Source organism: Homo sapiens, chromosome 3 (genome assembly GCF_000001405.40).
Source record: "Homo sapiens chromosome 3, GRCh38.p14 Primary Assembly".
NCBI lineage: Eukaryota > Metazoa > Chordata > Mammalia > Primates > Hominidae > Homo > Homo sapiens.
The window spans coordinates 51928007-51950354 of NC_000003.12; the positions used below are offsets into that span (position 1 = coordinate 51928007).

General features: G+C 55.5%; 2 protein-coding genes across 7 annotated transcripts, besides 2 other annotated features; one reads left to right on the forward strand and one right to left on the reverse strand.

The window, feature by feature from the left end:
* Positions 1 to 5422: 5422 nt before the first annotated feature.
* On the reverse strand, positions 5423 to 13898 carry RRP9 (ribosomal RNA processing 9, U3 small nucleolar RNA binding protein). 2 transcript variants are annotated; one of them, NM_004704.5, is made up of 15 exons: positions 13775 to 13898; positions 13403 to 13485; positions 10089 to 10198; positions 9663 to 9730; positions 9539 to 9580; positions 9186 to 9312; positions 8425 to 8549; positions 8251 to 8343; positions 7586 to 7686; positions 7336 to 7470; positions 7191 to 7253; positions 6625 to 6770; positions 6466 to 6545; positions 5702 to 5775; positions 5423 to 5593 (listed from the first exon to the last, which is right to left on the reverse strand). In NM_004704.5, the coding sequence occupies exons 1-15, from the start codon at positions 13859 to 13861 to the stop codon at positions 5500 to 5502; spliced, it is 1428 nt and encodes a 475-aa protein (NP_004695.1). In that variant the 5' UTR covers positions 13862 to 13898; the 3' UTR covers positions 5423 to 5499. The 2 variants fall into 2 exon arrangements, with proteins under 2 accessions (NP_004695.1, XP_047305128.1); XM_047449172.1 differs by having other exon boundaries at positions 13403 to 13501.
* Positions 13260 to 13908: an enhancer, noted in NCBI's record as "H3K27ac hESC enhancer chr3:51975282-51975930 (GRCh37/hg19 assembly coordinates)". NCBI's record gives its function as "activates a minimal SCP1, AML or CMV promoter by ChIP-STARR-seq in naive H9 embryonic stem cells {active_cell/tissue: H9 hESC(naive)}" and the evidence as "EXISTENCE:reporter gene assay evidence [ECO:0000049][PMID:30033119]".
* Positions 14033 to 14362: an enhancer, noted in NCBI's record as "active region_19921". NCBI's record gives its function as "activates an Ori minimal core promoter by ATAC-STARR-seq in GM12878 lymphoblastoid cells {active_cell/tissue: GM12878}" and the evidence as "EXISTENCE:reporter gene assay evidence [ECO:0000049][PMID:35858748]".
* On the forward strand, positions 14357 to 20861 carry PARP3 (poly(ADP-ribose) polymerase family member 3). 5 transcript variants are annotated; one of them, NM_001370239.1, is made up of 12 exons: positions 14357 to 14702; positions 14924 to 15040; positions 15343 to 15532; positions 16083 to 16211; positions 16384 to 16572; positions 16772 to 16904; positions 16992 to 17218; positions 17489 to 17638; positions 17847 to 17933; positions 18160 to 18337; positions 19734 to 19889; positions 20305 to 20861. In NM_001370239.1, the coding sequence occupies exons 3-12, from the start codon at positions 15350 to 15352 to the stop codon at positions 20472 to 20474; spliced, it is 1602 nt and encodes a 533-aa protein (NP_001357168.1). In that variant the 5' UTR covers positions 14357 to 14702; positions 14924 to 15040; positions 15343 to 15349; the 3' UTR covers positions 20475 to 20861. The 5 variants fall into 5 exon arrangements, with proteins under 5 accessions (NP_001357168.1, NP_001357169.1, XP_047303043.1 ...); NM_001370240.1 differs by having other exon boundaries at positions 14357 to 15040; XM_047447087.1 differs by having other exon boundaries at positions 14357 to 15040; positions 15348 to 15532.
* The last annotated feature ends 1487 nt before the right edge of the window (positions 20862 to 22348 follow it).

Sequence of the window (22348 nt, forward strand, 5' to 3'; positions counted from 1 at the left end):
CACTGCACAGTAATTTTTAAAAATTTAGAACCCCATATGTCGCACCAAACAAGTTTATTGTGTGTAAATTTTAAAAACAACTCAAAACAATCATGATTTTTTTTTTTTTTTTTTTTTTGAGACAGAGTTTTGCTCTTGTTGCCCAGGCTGGAGTACAATGGCACAATCTCAGCCCACCGCAACCTCCCCCTCCCAGGTTCAAGAGATTCTCTTGCCTCAGCCTCCCAAGTAGCTGGAATTATAGGCATGCGCCACCATGCCCAGCTAATTTTGTATTTTTAGTAGAGACAGGGTTTCTCCATGTTGGTCAGGCAGGTCTCAAACTCCCAACCTCAGGTGATCTGCCCACCTCAGCCTCCCAAAGTGCTGGGATTAAAGGCATGAGCCACCCCACCCAGCATGATCCTCTTATTTGGGTCTATATGAGAAGCAAAGAGATGAAGGTCCTTGCACTCCAAGGGCACAGAAAAGATCCCACATTTGGAGCCGAGGGTGACTACAGAGCTGGAGCCCAGAATGGAGGGAGGCCCAGACAGGGGAGACCCAGGGGCTGCGGTGTTCGTGGATGAGGTGACTCTAGAGGCAGGGTGAGCGCTGGGGCCTTGAGTACCACCAAGACCAGCTCAGCCTCTAGCCAGTGGGCAGGGAGGAGGCACCCCAGGGGCTGAGGAGCAGAGGAAGATGCCATCCAATGGGAGGTTGGAGGGTGCGCTGGGTGAGGGGGCTGGGGCGAGCATGGTGGAGTGAACCTCCTGGAGCTGGGGTAAGGGATGCAGCACAGGGAGCAAGACACAGGCCCCTCAGGGCCACTGTGGGTGAGCGCTGAGCACAGAAGTACCAGCATCCTAGGGTACCATTCTTCCATCCCACCCCCACCAATTCTCCACCTCCTCTACCAGAGTTTCCTCCAGAGGTTCTCAGTAGGCCCCTTGAAGGAGGGCTGGAAAAAGGAGAAGAAAGCAGGACTCAGTGAGGGTTCCAGTGGGACCAGCCCTCTGCATGTGCTCCCAGCCCCAGGGCCTGCAGAGGAGGAAACGCAGGTCTCCTGGGAATGGGCTGTTCTAAGGCAACCCTCAGCCCCTGCCTCAGGCATTTCTTCTGCAGCAGCCCCAGCCCCATCCCGAGGTTAGTGACCCTCACATGCAGCCCCTGGCACAGCAGCCTCCCAGGAGGACCCAGGAGTTTACTTGGTGGATCCTGCACCTTGGGAAGCCCTGTGGCCCCCTTTAAAGATCTCCACCTGATCTATATCCACCTGTGGTCCTCACCTGATCTTATGCAGTCACCTTTGCTAGCCGGTCTCTTCCTTCTTCTGGCTCCTTGCTGGCAGAATCTGAGTATTTCCTCATTTGTGTCCCCAGATGCTAAAAAGTGCCAGCACAGAGCAAGTACTAAATAAATGCTCATTGAATGAATGAATATTATAAAGTAAAAGAGGACCAGATGCTTCTCTAAGGAGACCCAAGGCCCTAAAGTCCCGAGACCCTTTCTCCATGCCTAGGGAGAGGTCCTGTCACTGTGCTTCCCTGTACCCAGTGTCCCCAGAAAGAGGTGGGGGTGAGCAGGAAGTGACTGGGCTGGGAATGAGGAAGCTCCACATTGGGGAAGGTGGTGTTCAGCACTGGGAACTGGACAGCAACCAGAAGAGCCAGCACTGGAAAGGTAGGGGTGGGGAAGAGAAATGAGACAGAGACGTGGTAGAGTAAGAGGGGTTGAGAGAGGCAGGGCATTTAGCTGGCAGCCAACCCGTCCTGCACCAGCTACCCTTCTGTCTTACTCACCTCTGCCTGGGGTTTCTGTCCACACACTTCTCTAGTCAAGAGGCCCCGGAAAGTGGCTTCTTGAGGAAGATTCTCTTGTCTTAGGCCTTTGCACAGATGATTAAAGACTCGGGGTGCTCTTCCCCCAGGTCTTCCCATCATTCAGGTCTCACTGGATGTCACTTCTCCAGAGACCTTACCCAGTCTCTGTCCTCTCACTCTGCTTGACCTCCTCATTAACACTAATCATCTGGATTTGCATTGTGTCTGATTATTTACATGCTTTATACCTCCAGAGGGTAGACTTCTTGAATGCAGGAACTTTTTCTTGTTCGTTTCTGTATCCCCAGGAGCTGGGGCATCACTGGAACACAACCAAGTTTTGTTGGACGGACAGATGCATGGATGGATGGATGGATCAATGGATCAATGGATGGATGGATGGATATGCTACAAGGATGGATATGCTACAATGGATGGATGGATGGATATGCTACAAGGATGGATATGCTACAAGGGATAGTTTTCCAAGAGAAATTGGAGTTACACTTTCAGAAGGAAATGGGAATGAGTACCTGGCAGACCACACAACAGGTATCGAAGACATATTACTGTCACCATCTCCATAAAGTGGCCTCAATCCTTCCTGTTTGTGGAAAGAAGGTGAGTTGCCAGCCCTATTGCCTTCACCTCCCTGATTTCTAGTTTCCCTTTTGAAGTTAGGATTGATGGTAGATTCCCCCAGAATGGCAGTGATTTGGGTGGCTCAGAGGTTCAGACTGTACTCCTAGGCCCATTCTCAGGCAGGAGGGAAGAGTGGATATTGGCTGCTCATCTGTCATGCCAACCTCCTAATAGTGGCCAGGGGGCGGCCAGGTGCTGTGGCTCATGCCCATAATCCCAGAAATTTGGGAGGCCAAGGTGGGCAGATCACTGGAGGCCAGGAGTTTAAGACCAACCTGACCAACATAGTGAAACCTCTTCTCTACTAAAAATACAAAAATTAGCCAGGTGTACTGGCTCATGACTATAAACCCAACTACTTGGGTGGCTGAGGCATGAGACTCACTTGAACCAGGGAGGCAGAGGTTGCAGTGAGCTGAGATCGCACCACTGTACTCCAGCCTGGATGACAGAGCAAGACCCTGTCTCAAAAAAAAAAAAGGGGGGGCCAGTGAGCTAGGGTCTGGTCGTTCATCCTTGACTCTTACTGCACCATCAGAGTCTGAGGTTGCCCTCTAGCACATCCTCTGCCGACTCAGGAGTAAGAAGAGCGTAGCTCTGGCAGGAGAAAGGTGGAGTGATGTTCTGGACTGGACAGTAAACTATGTGGATTCCCTGCCCTTCACAACATGACATGGCAGTCAGTCCCATCAAGAGATGAAGTTTCCTTCCCATCAATCTAGGATGGCCTGCCATTCACTTTGGCCAACTGAATGCAATAGAAGTGCCAGATTCAAGCCCGGACCTCTAGATGACTTGCATGCTTCTCTCCTGGCGTGGGCTAGCCTGCTGGAGAATGAGAAACCACATATGGAAGTGCAGTTTTCCCAGTGTGTCCATTGCCAGCCAACCTCCAAACATAGATAAGTCAAGGTCAGCAGAGCTTCAAACACACAGCTGACTGCAAAATCATGAGTAAGCTCAGCTGGGACCAGAAGAAACCCCCAGTTGGGCTGGACGCGGTGGCTCACGCCTGTAATTCCAACACTTTGGGAGGCTGAGGCAGGCAGATCACCTGAGGTCGGGAGTTTGAGACCAGGCTGACCAACATGGAGAAACCCCGTCTCTGCTAAAAATACAAAATTAGCCAGGCATGGTGGCACATGCCTATAATCCCAGCTATTCCAGAGGCTGAGGCAGGAGAATCACTTGAACCTGGGAGGCGGAGGTTGCGGTGAGCTGAGATTGCGCCATTGCACTTCAGCCTGGGTAACACTGGGTAACAAGAGCGAGACTCTGTCTCAAAAAAAAAAAAAAGAAAAGAAACCCCCCGTTGGCCTGCAGACCCATGCACACTAGTGGTTCTAAGCCAGTTTTAGGATGGTTTGCACCCAGCAATAGCTAACAGATGCAGGAGCCAGGGAGAACACCTACTCAATCTCAGCCTGAAAGCTGGGTGGAATGCAACCTGCCTGGAACAGGCAGATTTTGGCCAAAGTGGAGGTGAGGAGAAGGGTCCTAGGAGAGGCTGAAGGCACCGGGTTTGCTGATAGCAGCCCCTGCTCAAGAATCCAAAAGCAAGGAAGCCCCGACGGAGCAAGGCTGAGAATAGAAACCATGGGAGAAGTTATCTTCACTTTGAATCCGGAGTCCTCGTTTTCATTTGATGAGAATGTACTTAGGAAAGGGTTCACTCCTTCAGGGGCTTCTCTGGGTTGTTTACAGTGTTTTTCAGGTGTGTTTATGACACTGCTGAGCTCAATTTGGGACGGGACACAGGAGTGAGTGAATTCTACCAACATCTTCTCATCTGCAATAGGATTTTTCAGGCTGGGCACAGTAGCTCACACCTATAATCCCAACACTTTGGGAGGCCGAGGTGGGTGGATCACCTGAGGTCAGGAGTTTGAGACCAGCCTGGCCAACATGGCAAAACCCCATCTCTACTAAAAATACAAAAATTAGCCAGGTGTGGTGGCACGCACCTGTAATCCCAGCTACTTGGGAGGCTGAGGCGGGAGAATTGCTTGAACCTGGGAGGCAGAGGTTGCAGTGAGCTGAGATCGCGCCACTGCACTCCGGCCTGGGCAATAAGACTGAAACTCCGTCTCAAAAAAAAATGATTTTTCAGAGGCTCAGCCTGAACCTGACCCCTCTGGTCCCAGATTAACCGCAGACACAGGTCAGTCTGAGGGGGAGGCCTCGTGAGCATGGGGTCAAGGGGAGCCCTGTGGCTTCGTCTCTCAGGGGACCACACCACTCCTTCACAGTTTCAGCTGTTGGGCCCCATGGGCACGGGGCTTTCCCTTAACACCCCTTCTCCTTTTTCCTGATAGGAGGGGACCTCACTGTGCCTCTACACCTCCAGTCCACCTCTACCTCCTCCTCGCTGGCTTCACCCCACAGCAGGAGGGAGCTATCCACTCTGTGAAATCAGAGAGAGTGAGCATTCCTTTGACTCACTTCCCTGGCAGGTAGGTCCTGGCAGGTAGGTCCTGGTTCTGACATTCAGACCAAAGACAGAGCTCTTCCCAACTTGGACCCCTGTCTCCAAACAGTAAGCCCACCAGTGCAGGGTCCCACTCCCACTCCTGACCCCCACACCTCACGGCAGTCTGTCCCCTCCAGCTTCCTGACCTGACCTGGGAGAGGAAGCGAAGCCAGTTTGATGTGCAGGTCCGCTGTCTACAGTCCAGTCCTGACCCCAGCACCAGCCCTTACAAGCCCTGGCTTCTGAGCTGAGGGGTGAGTAGCTTCTGACCCCGACCACCCAGAGCAGTGGCAGGCAGCTAGCCTGAGGAGGTCGTGCAGGACACGCAGGGACAGGAGCCAGGAGCCAGTTGAGGTCTCCATCCCAAGTTCTTTGGAAAAGGATAACAGCCCTCAGGCTAGCAGAGGGGCAGAGCTAGGAGACTGCTGGAGTCCTGTCCCTCCCCAGGCCGCCTCCCACCCAGTCCCTCATGCACCCCCACCCCCACCAAGAAGCTACAAGAAACAAGGCCCAAAAGAGGAGGCTTTTAATACAAAGAGGGTGGGGCATAGCCTGGGAAGGACTTAAATAAGGAGGATAAGAGTGTCAGGAACCAGCAGCTGGGGGTACAGGGACCCTGCGGAGTGGGATGATGCAGACAGAATTCCGAGCCTCTTTGATTCTCCACCATCGGCCAAGCCTGCAGGGAGTGCAAGACGCAGCTGAGACTCGGCCCAGTCTCCACCCCATTTCCACCGAGCTGTCCAGCCTGCACCACCTTACCTGAACCCTCGAGGGCCACACATACCTGTGCTCCTGCCCTACCCCAGCCACCAGGAAGTCCCCAGAGCTGGAGAACTTGAGGCTGTTGATAAAACCCACCTGAGCAGAAAGACAACACGGAAAGACATTAGAACGCCCCCCGCCACCACCGTCCTCAGCATCACAGTCAAGGGCTGGGCCTTATCAGGCCTGGGTTAAATCCCTGCTCTGCCTCCTGCCACCTGGTGACACAGGCCAGCCCTTCACTTGTCAGGGCCTCAGCCTCCACATCTGCGAGATGGGGGTAAGCAGAGCACGGGGCTAGCAGTGAGTTTGTGAGGATGAAGGAGGCAGTGTACACCCAGTATGGCCTGAGGCTGGCTCCTGGTGGTGGGGCCCTGGAGACCCCATGACTGTCCCCACTGACCTAGACCCTGCATTCTCAGCACACATCACTGACAGATCCTGCCACCCTCCCCCAGGTCACCCTAGTGTGGACAGTGAGGTCCACACCCTCTAGCCTGGCACCCAATCTGGCACCAGCAGTACAGAATTCATCACAGGGCCAGGCCTCCATGCCTCTCCCCATGCTGCTCCCTGACTTGTACCCCAGCACCCTGGACAGGGCCTAGGATAGGAAGGGGAGCAGAGGAGGGAAAGTGGGGAGGGTTCCTGCCAGGCCCTGTGCTAGGAGCTGGCCCTGCCCTGAGAAGGTTCCCTTCTGGCAGGAAGAAAGACCTTAAAGAGCTAACTCCAGGGGCCTAGGCAGTGTGGCAGAGACAGGCTGAGCATTCAAGCACACTCACTCACCAGGGGGATGTCACAGAGAAGGTCAAGCTGCCGGAAGCCTTCCCCACACTGCCAAAGCCGCACACAGGAGCTGTGGGAGCCTGGGGAGACTGGAACAGTGAGCAACCCCTGCACCGGCCCACCCGGCGACCCCTCCTCCCTGCCTCTCAGGGCACCCACCTGTGGCCACAAGGTCTGTGTTGAGGAGGGCTGCCACCGACGATATCCAGAAGGGCTGCTCCAGGCCTGGCTCTCCCCGCAGCCCGTGAGCTTCACGCTGCAGGGCAAGTGGTCGCTTCTTGGAGAGACCCCACAAGGCCACAGAGCTATAAACAGGGAGGGAATACAGCAGTGAGGGGGCCAGAGGCAGAAAAGGCCCCCTGTGTAACACAAAGGATTAATGCTTGAGGGGATGGATACCCCATTTCCCATGATGTGATTATTACATATTGCATGCCTGTATCAAAACATCTCAAGTACCCCACAAATACGTACACCTACTAAGCACCCACAACAAATTTTTTTTAATTCTAAAAAAAAAGAAAAAAGGCCACATGACAGGAAGGGATCAAGGGCACACAGCCCGGACAAGGCCATCTGAGCTCTCTGCCTCATCATCCTCATCCATGAAAAGAGGTTACAACAGCTCCCCCACTGGGGGTGCCCTGAGGCAAGCTCAGGGCCCCGTGGACAGCCAGCACTCAGGAGCAGAAGCCGTGGCCAGAGACATCCAAAGGACCTCTTACCCATCGTCCGCGCCGGACACCATGTGCTCCTCATTGATTAGGTGGATGCAGTCGATGGAGCCCCTGGAGAAAGGGGCTGTGAGGAGCGTGGCCCAAGCCCACCCCCAGCCCATGTAGCCCCCACTGGCATGGCAGGCCACCTTACTGGTGGCCATAGAAGACAAGCTGGGACTCCTCGGGGATCTTCCACACACGTACAGTCCCATCCCGGCCCCCAGCCGTCACACAGCACTCCCGGCTCAAGGCATCCAGTGCAGCCACAGCGTCCTGGTGTCCGAAGCTAGAGGGCCGGGCAGAGCAGGATAGTGGGGATAGGGGTACTGCATGAACTCACGGGCACACACTCCCACACCCTCTCTCACACCATCCACACACCCTCTCCCATCCACACTCACAGCGTCTCCACGTAGGAGTTCTCTGCCACATTCCACACCTTCACGGAGCGATCGTGGGATGTGCTGTAGAGCTGGTGGGTGCCTCTGCGGAATGCCAGACCCTAAGGGTGCATGGGGAGAGGGCAAAGGGGACCTGGACTACAGCAGGCGAGAGACAGGTCAGGCCCAGGGAGGACTTCCCAAAAAGCAAGCCATGTGGCACGTGCTGTGAGGCAATTTTGTACTGCCCACATGCCCATCTGCCCCTGAGCAGATGCAGACGTCTTTTTTATTTATTTATTTTTTTTAGCGACAGGGTCTCATTCTGTTGCTCAGGCTGGAGTGCAGTGGTGCGATCATAGCTCACTGCAGCCTCCATCTCCTGGGCTCAGATGATCCTCCATCTCGGCCTCCCAAAGTGCTAGGATTATAGGCAAGAGCCGCTACATCCCGCCCAGAGGCGGCTTCTCAAGGCCCTCGTTGATTCCTGAGCAAGCTCGGCCCGGTCTCCCCCAGCTCCTCCCCATCCCTTTAGCCCATTTATGTATTTTACAGCACCACTCGCTACCCACTCGCTACCCCAGGATGCAGGTTCCCTGAGGACAGAGACTCCAGAGGCCAGCACTGAGCCTAGAACACTAGCATGTGCCCACTAAAGATCCACTGACATAGACCCAGCTCCTCACCGACACTGCATCCCGGTGTCCTGTGAAGGTGTACAAGTGCTGGCAGCTCTGGGCCTCCCAAATGAGAATGAGCTTGCTGCGGTCACCAGAGGCCTGCAGGGATGAAGACAATGATCACAGGCACCCACCATGCACCAGACCTCCCGCCTGCCCCCAGGGCCAACCTGGCCTTACAAGGTACTTGCCGTCGGAGGAGATGGCCATGCAGAGGACGTGGCTGCTGTGGCCAGGGGGCTTTCCCTCGGCACCCTTCTTGGCTCGAGGAATCACATGCAGCTTCCGTCCACTCTCCACGCTCCCTGCAGTTGGGGGTGGGGGAGAAGCTACTGGGATGGGGGGATAGGGCTGGCTGGCAACCCCCCTCAAGGGGCAGCATGGAAAAAAGAGCCATGGCAAATGTCCCGGACTCGGCCAGAAGACCTGGCTCAGCCACCGTGAGCCTCCGGACAAGCTGCCTCAGTTTCCTCATCTATGAAGAGGGACATTAGTGCCAAACAGCAGCCACAAAGCCCAAAAAAGAGAAGGGATGTAAAAGGGCTTTGGGATTGATGGTGTGAGTTCTTCTGTTACTACAGCGGGTGTAGAAGGAACCGCTGGTCAGCCAGCAACGGATGGGAACCCAGGAGGACCGGGCACTCAATCCCAGGACTGCACAGCCTCAAATGTCTTCTAGTCCAACCACCTACCTGCAGCATTAATTCCCATTAAATCATCATCCTGACTTTGCCCAAAGGTCTCTAGGGACAGGGAGCTCATAAGCCCCACTGCCGGGCAGCAGCTTTCACTGTCACCCAGAGAGCACTCCTAGGGCAGCAAACCTGCCTCCAGAGACTTCCCCACTTCAGGGCTCAGCCTGCCATGACCACTCCCACTCCCCTGACCAGCCCTCCCGGATCCGCCATGGGGGCTCCAGCCCCACCCAGGCACTCACTCACACTTAATGATGCTGCAGTCTTTGGCAGCAGAGAAGATGGCTGAGTCATCGGGGGTGACGACCAAACATGTGATAGAGAGCTGGTGCCCCCGTAAAACGCGAATGTCAGCTGAGGCTGGGGCCTGGATCTGGGCAGACAGGGGCCAGGTCACTGTGGCTAGTGGCATAAAGGCACTACCTTCACCAACCCCACTGCGTAGTGTTGGCCTTTCCCACCCAGGCCAGAAGGAAAACAAGACCCAAGGCTACAACAACCAGATCCTTACCTGACCAGATAGGCCCAAGTGTCCACCATGTTCCAAGTGGGGCCCCCAATTCCCTCCAACCTTATACCAAAATACCATGCCCACTCACCTCTTTTGCCACCAACTTCTGCAGCCTGCCCCTCTGCTCAAGCTGCATGGAGAAGAGATGGATGAGACCCTGGGAGCAGATCAGCTCCACCCCCGTCCTCCCCCAACTCTCCCTCCACACTTACCACATCCTCCTTCAGGCGCCCCGCCACCTGGTCCTCCTCAAATGCACGGGCCTCAGCCTTCTCCTCCTCTGTGCAGGACAGACCAGACCAAGTAAACTGAGGCTGAGACCCCTCTTTCCCTTCCATCCTGTCCCCATCCCACTGCCCCAGGGCTGGATAATGCAGGAAGCTCCAGCTGCCTCAGCAGAGGGGAGGGCAAGCTGGAGGGTTTCCTCCTGCCTTTACTTATCAGATCAGCCCCCTGCGGGCTCCCCAGGAGGCCCATGAGAGCTTCTGGCCACCCCCACAGGGCAGCCAGCACTGACAGCCTGGGCACCCACTGGGAATCCATGTCAGTCACCCATCAAGTGGCTGGGGCTGCAGCGGCGGGCAGCAGACCAGCACAGGCAGAAGCCCTGCCCATGGCTGGCCTGCCCACTGGCTCACCTTGCTGACGGAGCTGCTCTAGGTAGAGCTTGGCCAAGCGCAGCTTCTTTTCCTGTGCAGTTTCCTCCAGCTCCTCCTCCTCCTCCTCCTCAGGCTTCCTTGGAGCTAGGCTGTGGGCAGGAAGGGGCTGGGTCTGAGGGGCTCACCTTGTTCCTCTGACCGCTAGGATCGTGCCTTCTGGATGCTCACCTTGCCATCCAACCTCCCCTATTCCCTGCTAGCCCACATGGTCGGTGACTACACTGCAGAAAACTGAAGGATGTGACTCCCCAAACTAAAAGGCCCCACTCAGTGCCCCACGTAGGGGTGGAAACAGACCCAAATCCCAAAGAGATCACTAAAGCCTCTCAACTCTGGGGGAAAGAGGAGGCTTCCAAGAGAAACCAGGCTTCCAAAAGAAATCAGGTCACATACAAAGAGTCAGGAATCAAAATGTGCAGGCATCTCAACAGCAATACTGAGAACAAGAAGACAAAGAAGCCTCACACACAAAGCTCTGGAGGAATACACTGACCCCTAAAATGCCATGCCCAGTCAAACAATCAACGACGACACTGCCAGGTGTGCAAGGTGCCATGGAATTTTCTCCCTCTTTTTCTTTAGGAAGGATAGAAGCTGTGCTCCCAAACAAGAGGGTAAACTGGGAAAGAGAAAGGCAAGGGATACCGGAAACCAGAGATGCGACACAAGAGAGCAGAAAGGGTGACACTATCCCCAGACATGACGGGGGCAGTCTGGATCAGATCCAAGGACCCACCAGGCAGACACACCAGGACTGTCATCACCACAGCACCATCCTTTACCCTGGGAACAAGGTTCCAAGCGAACCTTCACTGTTTGGGGATTGGCCTTTACTGGTGAAGTTACGGCTTTCCCCTCCATGCCCCAGCCCCCGGACCAGCTGAGAGTACTCACTTCACCCAAAGACAGGTGCTGCTTTGACCTGCTCCTGGGAGCTGGGGGTAGGTCATGGGCACTCAGACACAGAGAATCCAAGGCAGCCCACTCCCTCTGATCATGTGCCTGAAGACATCTAGTCTCTGTCCACTCCCCTAACCGTGTTTCCCAAGACTCACTCGTAAACCTGCCCCTGACTTCCCCAGAAGGGACCTTGAAAACTCTCAGGAAAGCCAAAGCTGGACCATGCCCCAGAAATAATTTAGTGCCCTGTGCCTGGCAAGCCTTCAGCCAACAGGGCTAGTGCTGCCCTTCCCTTACACAGCCAAGGGACCTGTGTTAACTTCGGACTTCTACTCAATTTAGCCAAACTAATTAATCTATTGTTGAAGGATTCATACGCATGAGACAGAACGCTAAAGAAATGCAAGGGAAGTACACACTATGATTCCATTTACAGGGCATGCTAGAAAATGCACAACTCTAGGGGCAGTGGTTAGCAGAGACTTGGGGGGAAGGAGAGGGGCTGACTACGAAGGAGCAGGAGGAGTTCTGGAGGGTGATGAAACTCTTTACCTTCAGGGTAGAGGTGGTCACACAACTGTGTGTGTTTGTCAAAACTCACTGAACTATAACTTTAAAAAGGGCATGTTACTATATGTAAATTATACCTAAATGGAAAATGTTAATTTTTTAAAAGAAGAACAAAGAAACCAAAGAAATGATTAACTCAAGTTAGGAATGACAGTTGCGGCTTCTAAGTTTCTGCAAATGTTCTAGTTCTTAACCTAAGTGGTAAGTAAGTGTACAGAGGTTTACCATTTTACCATTACTCTCTGTAGTGCAAATATATCTCATTCACTTTTCTGTATCTAACACACTTCACAACACAACATTCTAAAAATATTTAAAAGCACTTAGCCCACACTAGCCTGGCACACACTCACCCACAATAACCTTCGGATTAAGAAAAGTACATTAATGGCTGGGTGTGGTGGCTCACGCCTATAATCCCAGCACTCTGGGAGGCTAAGATGGGCGGATCACTTGAGGTCAGGAGTTCGAGACCAGCCTGGCCAACATGGTGAAACTCCATCTCTACTAAACATACATAATTAGCCAGGCATGGTGGTGCAGGCCTATAATCCCAGCTACTCAGGTGGCTGAGGCAGGAGAATCACTTGAACCTGGGAAGCAGAGGTTGCAGTGAGCCGAGATCGCACCACTGCACTCCAGCCTGGGCAACAGAGTGAGACTCTGTCTCAAAAACAAAAAAAAAAAGTACATTCTTTCCATGAGCAAATTAAGGCAACACATACTCAATTTTAGAAGCGAGTTCTAAAGTCAACTCATAGGGAAGGCACTAGGATTCTCTGGTCCAAGAGCCTCCAACCCACAGGGTCAGGCCTGACACCATGCCTGACCCTTTGAAAACCTGCAAGCAACCACACCCATCACCTGCAGAAATGAGGGAGGCATCCAAAGCCCTCTACAATCTACATGCACTTATGACCAGTCCTCCTGTTTTTGTGTGTGGTTTTTTTTTAGAGACAGGATCTTGCTGTCACCCAGACTGGAGAGCAGTGCATGATCATAGTTCACTGCAGCTTCAACTCCCTGGGAAGGGATCCCCAAACCTTAGCCTCCTGAGTAGTTGGGACTACAGGTGCACACCACCATACCCAGCTAACTTTTTTTTTTTGTACAGACAAGATCTCGCTATGTTGCCCAGGCTGGTCTCAAACTCCTGACATCAAGCAATCCTCCCGCCTTGGCCTCCCAAAGTGCTGGGATTAGAGGCATGAGTTACCAGGCCCAGCCCCCTTTCATCTTTTCTACTGCCCATTCTGGCACACTTACACCTCAGACTTTCCTCTGATCACTGAATGCCTTCCCTACCTCTCCGTGAGAGACTCCTCTTCATCTCTCAAGACCCTATTTAAATGTCCCTCCTCTGTTCCCAGAACACACAACTATAAAATACACACCTCACTACAACACACTCTCTTCACCCGCCTGCCTATCTCTGCACTTCCAACAGCAAAGGCAGTGCCTGGCATGTTAAGAGACGGGGAGCCCAGTAATTGTGAAATTGCAGGAAAACTGGCAAGGGAAGAAGGATGCAAGAAATACTTGACAGCTTTGTTCTGTTTTCCTGCAATTTCTCAATCAGTCCAGTCCCTGCCAAAACCTAAGGAGGTCTCAATGGCCTCGGATTGGGGCCCAGGGTCCTTCCCACCCAGAGACCTCGCAGAAACAAGACTTTGCAGGACCAGAAACTAAAGGAAACAGCCACGATCTCAGAGCCAAGGGACAGAGTCTTGGATTCTAGGCTCAGTTCTGTTCGGACTCACTCAGTCTTCCGTGCACCATGGGACTCAGTTTTCCCTCCCACTATGTGGAAAAGAATAGCTCACCTCTCGCTCTCAGAGTCGCTGGAGATCTCCTCATTCATCTTGCCGCCACCCTTGGATTTGCCCCTGTCCCCCGCAGAGTCGGCCTGGGAATTATACGGTCTTTTCTTTGGTCAGGGGTCCAGACCACCCTGGCATTGACCAAGGGCCCCCCCCCCTCGGTTCCCTCAGAACCCCAGGAATGGGGAAGGCGGTGGTTCCCGGGTTAAGCGAACGGCTTTCTAGGATTTGGCCCGCGGAGAGAGGGACGAAGCTGACTCCAGCAGGGGTCCAGGGCGAAGGGCTGGGGAAGGGCCGGGACCCAGGTCCCCTGGATGGGATGACGGTTGTCCCAGTAGCAGGGCTGACCGCGGCCCTCAGAAGCGCCATGCTCACCTTTCGCCGCCGCTTGCCGGCCCCCGCGCCAGCCCCGGCCCCAGAGGCCGGCTTTCCCCGCTTACGAGCAGCCGCTGTTGCCGACATGCTGCCCACCAGGCGTGTAGCAGCGGCCGCAGAACTCACGTGGCAGCTGAACCCTCCCAGCTCCCCAGCCGCCTGGCAAGACCCCGCGTATTGATAGGCTTCCACCGCCCGCCGGGCCCCGCCTCCTACTGCTCCATTGGGTCCTTCTGCAGGCTCTGCCACGCCCCCAGGCACCCATAGGATGCACGCTTGTAGCCCCGCCTCCTGAAGTTCCTAGGCTCCCGCACCAGGCTCGAGTAGGAAGCCCGCATCTCCACGGCGCTTCCGGCCTGATGCTGTGGCGCTTGCGCTCTGCTGCTGGCCCACTTCGAAGTCGGAGCAAGAGCCTTCTCTGTGTTTGCGCCCCTTGGCCGCTGGGGGGCGCCAGAGACGCGGCGCCCTTTCGCGTTCTGGAACGTGACTCCTCCCCTCCATGGGCAGCCCGGCGCTAGACCCAACGGGGATCCAAGCAGCCCCGGGGAGAGGGAGGCTGCGTCTGTATCCGGGCCCAAGGTCACCGCGCGACCGGCAGATGCGTGCTGCAGGCCCCGGCCACATGAGCAGCGCTACGGACGCGACTGCCCCGGCCTTGGATATGCCAGATCGAGTGTCCACCCGTCCGTGGGACTGGTCGCCTGACTCGGCCTGCCCCAGCCTCTGCTTCACCCCACTGGTGGCCAAATAGCCGATGTCTAATCCCCCACACAAGCTCATCCCCGGCCTCTGGCGATTGTTGGGAATTCTCTCCCTAATTCACGCCTGAGGCTCATGGAGAGTTGCTAGACCTGGGACTGCCCTGGGAGGCGCACACAACCAGGCCGGGTGGCAGCCAGGACCTCTCCCATGTCCCTGCTTTTCTTGGGTGAGTGTCCTATGGTCCTGCCCACGGCAGGGCAGGGCAAGGCCTGGTGGGACTGGCCTTTGCCCTCTATCAGTTCAAGGCCACTGATCCGGAGTTCTGGCTCCTCAGAACTCTTGAGTCCATTGGGAAGGGCTTCTACAGCTCTGGGTTCTAAGCTCCGGGAGGATAATCTGGCCCCAAGAATCCTGCCCCCAGGATCCTCTGCCCACCCTCCCCCATAGCTCGGTGACTCGGCCCGGCAACCATGCCAGGGCTGAACTAGCTGACACAGGGGGAGGAGCCCCGAAGTGGAAGAGAGAGAGCCTCCTTTCACTTTCCCTACCCCTCAGGACACACAGGTGAGCTGCAGAGGGTAGGGAGCCAGGCAGACCCTGTTGACCAGAGTGGGCAGACTGGACAGAGTCCTAACCTTGCACTTGGGACTGGGGAAAGGGGTGTTTCTGAGTGACAAAGAGCTGGGTGTGGTCTGGGGCTGGGAATGCCGTCAGAGTGGACACAGGATGCAGTGGGAGGCCACCGAAGGGCCAACCCGGGGTGGGGCAAGTTGGTGCTGTGCTGGCCCAGGGCAGGGGTGGGGACTGAGAGTGGGTCGTTGGGGATGAGGAGACCATGGAGGCCTAAGGGCCTCTCTGTGCCCCAGGACAGCCATGGCTCCAAAGCCGAAGCCCTGGGTACAGACTGAGGGCCCTGAGAAGAAGAAGGGCCGGCAGGCAGGAAGGGAGGAGGACCCCTTCCGCTCCACCGCTGAGGCCCTCAAGGCCATACCCGCAGAGAAGCGCATAATCCGCGTGGATCCAACATGTCCACTCAGCAGCAACCCCGGGACCCAGGTGAGCTGCAGTCCCCAGTCAGGCCCAGAGCCTGCCCACTGATAAGCACAAACACACCCAGGCCACCCCCTTAGGACTCTGTTCTGGTTTTGGAGCCCAAGGCCCCCAGGTAAGCGCCAGAGCAAGGCCATGTTCTCCTGACCCCAGACATCAGGGCTGTGTCCCGTCAGGTCCAGGCGGGTCACATCTGCCCTTCAGACCCCATGCAGGCCTCCTCCCACCGCACTTAGGGAAAGGCTGTGACTACATCAGTCTCCTGGGCGCTTGCCCATGTCCCCTCAGGGCAGAGCCATGTCCCTCTCAGATTCCCCCATCCAGGGCCCAGCTGTGTCCCCCCCAGCACCCCCCATACCTCCATGTCAGGGTTTAGCCATGTCCTCTCACACCGCATCCCCTAGGGAAGAGCAGTGACCCCCCCAAGCTTCCAAGACAGGGTCCCTCTGACTCCCACTGCCGTCAGACTCCTGTCCCCATCAGAGCCCTCTCGGTGTACGGCCAGGCACCCCATCTGACCCCAGCCAGCCTGCCCCCCACCTCCCCTCTGGCCCAGGTGTATGAGGACTACAACTGCACCCTGAACCAGACCAACATCGAGAACAACAACAACAAGTTCTACATCATCCAGCTGCTCCAAGACAGCAACCGCTTCTTCACCTGCTGGAACCGCTGGGGCCGTGTGGTGAGTGCCCTGCCTGCTCTGCACATACTCCCCAGGGTCCTCAAAAGGCCACAGCTACTGACTTGGGGGGGCACCTCCCAACTGTCCCAGGGCACTCAGCACAGGGCCTGGCCCGACACACAGGCCAGCAAATGCTGATGGTGGGCATACCCCTGAAGGCTGTCGGTTGCAGGGAGAGGTCGGCCAGTCAAAGATCAACCACTTCACAAGGCTAGAAGATGCAAAGAAGGACTTTGAGAAGAAATTTCGGGAAAAGACCAAGAACAACTGGGCAGAGCGGGACCACTTTGTGTCTCACCCGGGCAAGTACACACTTATCGAAGTACAGGCAGAGGATGAGGCCCAGGAAGCTGTGGTGAAGGTGAGATGGCCAAGGAAGGTGGGCAGGCCCTGGACTGAGGGAGGGGACTCGTTGGAGAGTTCCCGCTGGTTGGGCTCTGCCACTGCCCAGCTGCGCAGCCTCAGCCACAGAACTCCCCTCTGGCCTCAGGCTGGCTGGTCTCTGTCTGGTGTCACGCCCTGCCCCGCTGCTCCTGCCCACATGTGCCCTCTATCTTCAGGTGGACAGAGGCCCAGTGAGGACTGTGACTAAGCGGGTGCAGCCCTGCTCCCTGGACCCAGCCACGCAGAAGCTCATCACTAACATCTTCAGCAAGGAGATGTTCAAGAACACCATGGCCCTCATGGACCTGGGTGAGGGGTGAGAGGCAGGCAGGGTGGCAGGGGCCTCAGGGTGGCAGGGCTGTGGGGCTGAGTCTCCCCACTCCCCTGTCCCCCTAGATGTGAAGAAGATGCCCCTGGGAAAGCTGAGCAAGCAACAGATTGCACGGGGTTTCGAGGCCTTGGAGGCGCTGGAGGAGGCCCTGAAAGGCCCCACGGATGGTGGCCAAAGCCTGGAGGAGCTGTCCTCACACTTTTACACCGTCATCCCGCACAACTTCGGCCACAGCCAGCCCCCGCCCATCAATTCCCCTGAGCTTCTGCAGGCCAAGAAGGACATGCTGCTGGTGAGGGCTGGCAGGGGTGCGGGCAGGCAGTGGGGCACTGAACAGACAGCCTAGGCGAGCGAGATGAAGGGCAGGTGGCCAAGAAGGCCCAGAAGGATGGACTGCCTGGGCAGGCTGACAGACGGGTGGGGAAGGCTGGGCAGACAGATAGGGTGGGGAGGGACAGGTGGGACACACAGGTGGGGTGGCTACAATACCAGTCATGTGAGAGAGGAGAGGGGAGGCCAGAGGTCAAGTGGGAAGACAAACTGCCAGGGCCCATCATCCTAGGTGCTGGCGGACATCGAGCTGGCCCAGGCCCTGCAGGCAGTCTCTGAGCAGGAGAAGACGGTGGAGGAGGTGCCACACCCCCTGGACCGAGACTACCAGCTTCTCAAGTGCCAGCTGCAGCTGCTAGACTCTGGAGCACCTGAGTACAAGGTGAGTTGGGCCCCACAGAGGGGCCAGGCTATCAGTGGGCACTGTCCCTCTGCCCACCTGCCCTCGAGGTGCCCAGAGGAATACTCGCCCTCAGCCTTCTCTTCCTGTGTCTCCAGGGCCTGAGGAGGGCTTGGGACTGGGGGAAGAAAAATGGGGGATTAGCTCCTGAGCCTCCCACCCTGGCAACCAGCTTCTGCTCTCCCCACAGGTGATACAGACCTACTTAGAACAGACTGGCAGCAACCACAGGTGCCCTACACTTCAACACATCTGGAAAGTAAACCAAGAAGGGGAGGTGAGGGAGGTTCCCCCACCTCTCCCCCATCACCACTGTGCCTTAGGAAGATGTCCTTGGCTAATCGGTCCCTTAGCAAATCGTTTAGCAGCTCTGGTCAGTTTCTGCCGGCCATGAGTGCGCGTGAGTAAGCAGAGGGACACTAGGCCTTGGTCACAAGCAGCAGGGCAAGGCGACTGAGTGCTCGGGTGGCATCACTCCCATTTCTCACTTCCTCTCCACTCAGGAAGACAGATTCCAGGCCCACTCCAAACTGGGTAATCGGAAGCTGCTGTGGCATGGCACCAACATGGCCGTGGTGGCCGCCATCCTCACTAGTGGGCTCCGCATCATGCCACATTCTGGTGGGCGTGTTGGCAAGGGCATCTACTTTGCCTCAGAGAACAGCAAGTCAGCTGGATATGGTGAGGTGCCCCTCTGGGCCAAGCCCTGGGAGGGTTGGCACTAAGATGGATTGGGCCCAGTCCTTGGCCACTGGAAATTCATGGTGAATCCAAGAGAGGAATCCTTTAATGGTTAATGACTACAGTGCTCAGTGGGCTGTCCTGGGCTTTGGTGGCGGGGGGTCTTAGAGAAAGTGTCTGATGGTCAGGGATGGCTTCCTGGGGGAGGCAATACAGATAGGATGGGTGCACCAACCAGACCTGGGAGGGGGTAAAAGGGGAGCCTTTGAGCCAGGTGTGGTGGCATACACCTGTAGTTCCATCTACTCTGGAGGCTGAGGCAGGAGGAACGCTTGAGCCCACAAGTTTAAGGCTGCCATGAGCTATGATCACACTCCAGCCTGTGTGACAGAGCCAGACTCCATCTGAAAAAATAAAAATAAAAAAGAGGAGACGTCAAGGCAAGGGGATAGGCAGAGAGGCTGGGAGGATGTGAGGATGTGGCAGGTCAGGGCTTCCAAACACTTCCTGATACTGGAGCTCAGAGCAATGCCTAGCCGGGGGCAGGGTGGGCTAGGGGCCCAGAACGATCGAGGAGGCTTTATCCAGAGAGTGATGGTTAGCCCAGCTGGACTTGTCTGTAGCAGGATCCCAGTGGCTACAGCTGTGGAGAGGGGGGCAGCAGCCAGAGGCTGCAGAGAGGCCATCCTCTTATCCAGGCTGGATGTGATGGGTGCCTGGCCCAAGGGCTGGGAAGTGCAGGGGAGGGAGCCCATGAGAGGGGCATGTAGGAGATGGGATGGGGAGCGTGTGGGAAAGGGTCAAGGCTGTCTCCAGTGACTTCTGAGTTTCTGGCCAGGAGTGTCCTCACCAAAATGACCCCCCCAGACCAGCTCCTCCACCCAGGCTGTCCCCATCATTGGAGGCCACCACCCAGCTGGCCAAGAGAGCAAGGACCAAGGATTCATCCCAGAACAGATGGGGCTGAAGTTCTAGGATGCCTGAGGTCACCAAGAGCAAGGGGTCCACCAGGAGGGCAGAGGGGCTTAGGAAAGAGTGGCGGGGTGGAGGGCTTAGGAGAGCCAGCGCGAGGAAGTCCCAGGTAGGGGCTGATGATGTCAGGAGCAAAGTCAGCAGAGCAGGCCAGGGAGAAAAGCCCCTGCCACGGGTTTGGTCACTGGGAGGCCATTGCTGACCTTGGTGAGGACAGCAGAGGGTACAGATGCCTGGCCATAGGGAGCACAGTGAGGTGGGAGGGAGCAGGCCGGGACAAGGAGGGAGTGACGGTTGGGGGAGAGTGAGCCTTTTCTTGCTGGAGCAGCAAAGCCAGAAGGAATAACATCGCAGCAGAGAGGGGCCCCACAGGTCAGCAGGAGGCAGGCTGAGCTGCCCACCGGTGCCTCCCTGTGTCTTGCAGTTATTGGCATGAAGTGTGGGGCCCACCATGTCGGCTACATGTTCCTGGGTGAGGTGGCCCTGGGCAGAGAGCACCATATCAACACGGACAACCCCAGCTTGAAGAGCCCACCTCCTGGCTTCGACAGTGTCATTGCCCGAGGCCACACCGAGCCTGGTGAGTCCTCAGAAGCTGTACAGCCCAAGGAGAGAGGTGGGGCCGAGATAGGGGCTGGGACATTTTCAGGGAGGGGGCTGTGAAGAGGGACAAAAAGAAGCTTCCCTGTCGTCACTCAGTTTGTCATTTGACAAACATCCACTGGTTCAACACATCATTCCTGGGCATCCCGGAGGGCTTCAAAAAGAGGAGTTGTTGACTGAGCATTGAAGGATTAGTACAAGTTTCCCAGAGAGAAGTCGGGGAGGACACCCCAGGCAGAAGCCCCAGCCCCTGCAGTGGTTTGGAGGTGGGCAAGGTGGAAATGAGCAGGCGTGCCCTGTGACAGACATGGAGAGCATAGGGGGCAGGACTTACTCGTAAGGCCTGGGACCAGTGACCCCTGGGCCACCCTGGCCCTTGCTGTGCCCTGCAGATCCGACCCAGGACACTGAGTTGGAGCTGGATGGCCAGCAAGTGGTGGTGCCCCAGGGCCAGCCTGTGCCCTGCCCAGAGTTCAGCAGCTCCACATTCTCCCAGAGCGAGTACCTCATCTACCAGGAGAGCCAGTGTCGCCTGCGCTACCTGCTGGAGGTCCACCTCTGAGTGCCCGCCCTGTCCCCCGGGGTCCTGCAAGGCTGGACTGTGATCTTCAATCATCCTGCCCATCTCTGGTACCCCTATATCACTCCTTTTTTTCAAGAATACAATACGTTGTTGTTAACTATAGTCACCATGCTGTACAAGATCCCTGAACTTATGCCTCCTAACTGAAATTTTGTATTCTTTGACACATCTGCCCAGTCCCTCTCCTCCCAGCCCATGGTAACCAGCATTTGACTCTTTACTTGTATAAGGGCAGCTTTTATAGGTTCCACATGTAAGTGAGATCATGCAGTGTTTGTCTTTCTGTGCCTGGCTTATTTCACTCAGCATAATGTGCACCGGGTTCACCCATGTTTTCATAAATGACAAGATTTCCTCCTTTTTTAAGGCTGAATGGTACTCTGTTATGTATATGCACCACATTTCCTCTATCCGTTCATCTATCAGTGGACACCAAGCTGCTTCCATATCTTGGCTATTGTGAACAGTGCTGCAGTGAACTGGGAAAGCAGACGTCTCTTGAACATACTGATTTCATTTCCCTTTGATGTATACCCAGTAGTGGGGTTTCTGGATCCATATCACCCCTTCTTGCCAGGCTCCCCTGTGTCCCAGACATCGATCCCCCTTCCCTCCAATCCCTGTTAGCCTTGATGTGTCTGTGGCCCCAGAGTCTTGCCTCCTAAAGTGATGGGTGTGGTACGGGCGTATTACAGGGACACAGATGCAGCAGCTTACTCAAGGGGCACAGCTGAGAGTGGCTTGGATCCCACATCCACCCAGGCCGTCCATCCTGGCCTGGACTGCATGTTGGAGCCATGTGGTCACCAAGGTAGGCTAAACTGCAGGCATGTGCAAGCAGCTTTACTAAACATGGTATTCTCTTGCCCCAGCCTCTGCCTGTCTGTGCCACAACTGTGCTGGGCCTGGGCCTCCAGCCACACTCCAGGGAGCGAGCGCTCACATGGGTTGATGTGGATCATGCACATACTCCTTGCCCCTCCTGGTCCATCACTGCAACAACCTGCTTCCTCTAATTGAGCCTTCAAGGGGGACCCCCACTGTCTACTCAGAACTATTTGTCATCTGGGGACCCACCTGGTGATTCTGTCCTTTATCCCAGACATTGCCAGGTGAATCAAGCATTCTTCATGTCTTGGCACCAAACATCCCTTTGTGTCTTTTTTTTTTTTTTTTTTTTTGAGGCAGGGTCTCACCCTGTCACCCAGGCTAGAGGGGAGTGGTACAACCACTGCTCACTGCAGCCTCAGCCTTCCCAGGCTCAGGTGATCCTCCCACCTCAGCCTCCAGAGTAGCTGGGACTACAGGTACATGACACCACACTTGGCTAATTTTTGTGTTTTTTGTAGAGACAGAGTTTTGCCATGTTGCCCAGTTTGGTCTCAAACTCCAGGGCTCAGGTGATCCTCCTTCCTCTGCCTCCCAAAGTGCTGGGATTACAGGTGTGAGCCACTGCACCCAGCCTCCTTTGTGTCTTAATCTAAATGTTACAAACAAGCTGAGCATATGTCAGAGGGGCACAGCTCTGCAATCATGAAAGGAGGCTGTTCAGGCAGGAATGCCAGTGATCACCAGGCAGGTCATCCTATCCACAGACAAAGGGTGCCATTGCTGGAGGAGGCCAACATCCAGGCTAGGGTTGCACATTGCATTTAGTTGTTGTGTCTCTTTAGTCTCCTTTAATCTGAAAACACTCCTCAGCCTTTTTTTTATTTTATAACTTTGACATTCTTGACACTCTTGAAGAATACAGGCCAGTTGTTTTATAGAATGTCTATCAGTTTAGGTTTCTCTGATGCTTTGTCGTGATTAGATTTAGGTATTGCATGGGCAGGAATGTGACATAAATGATA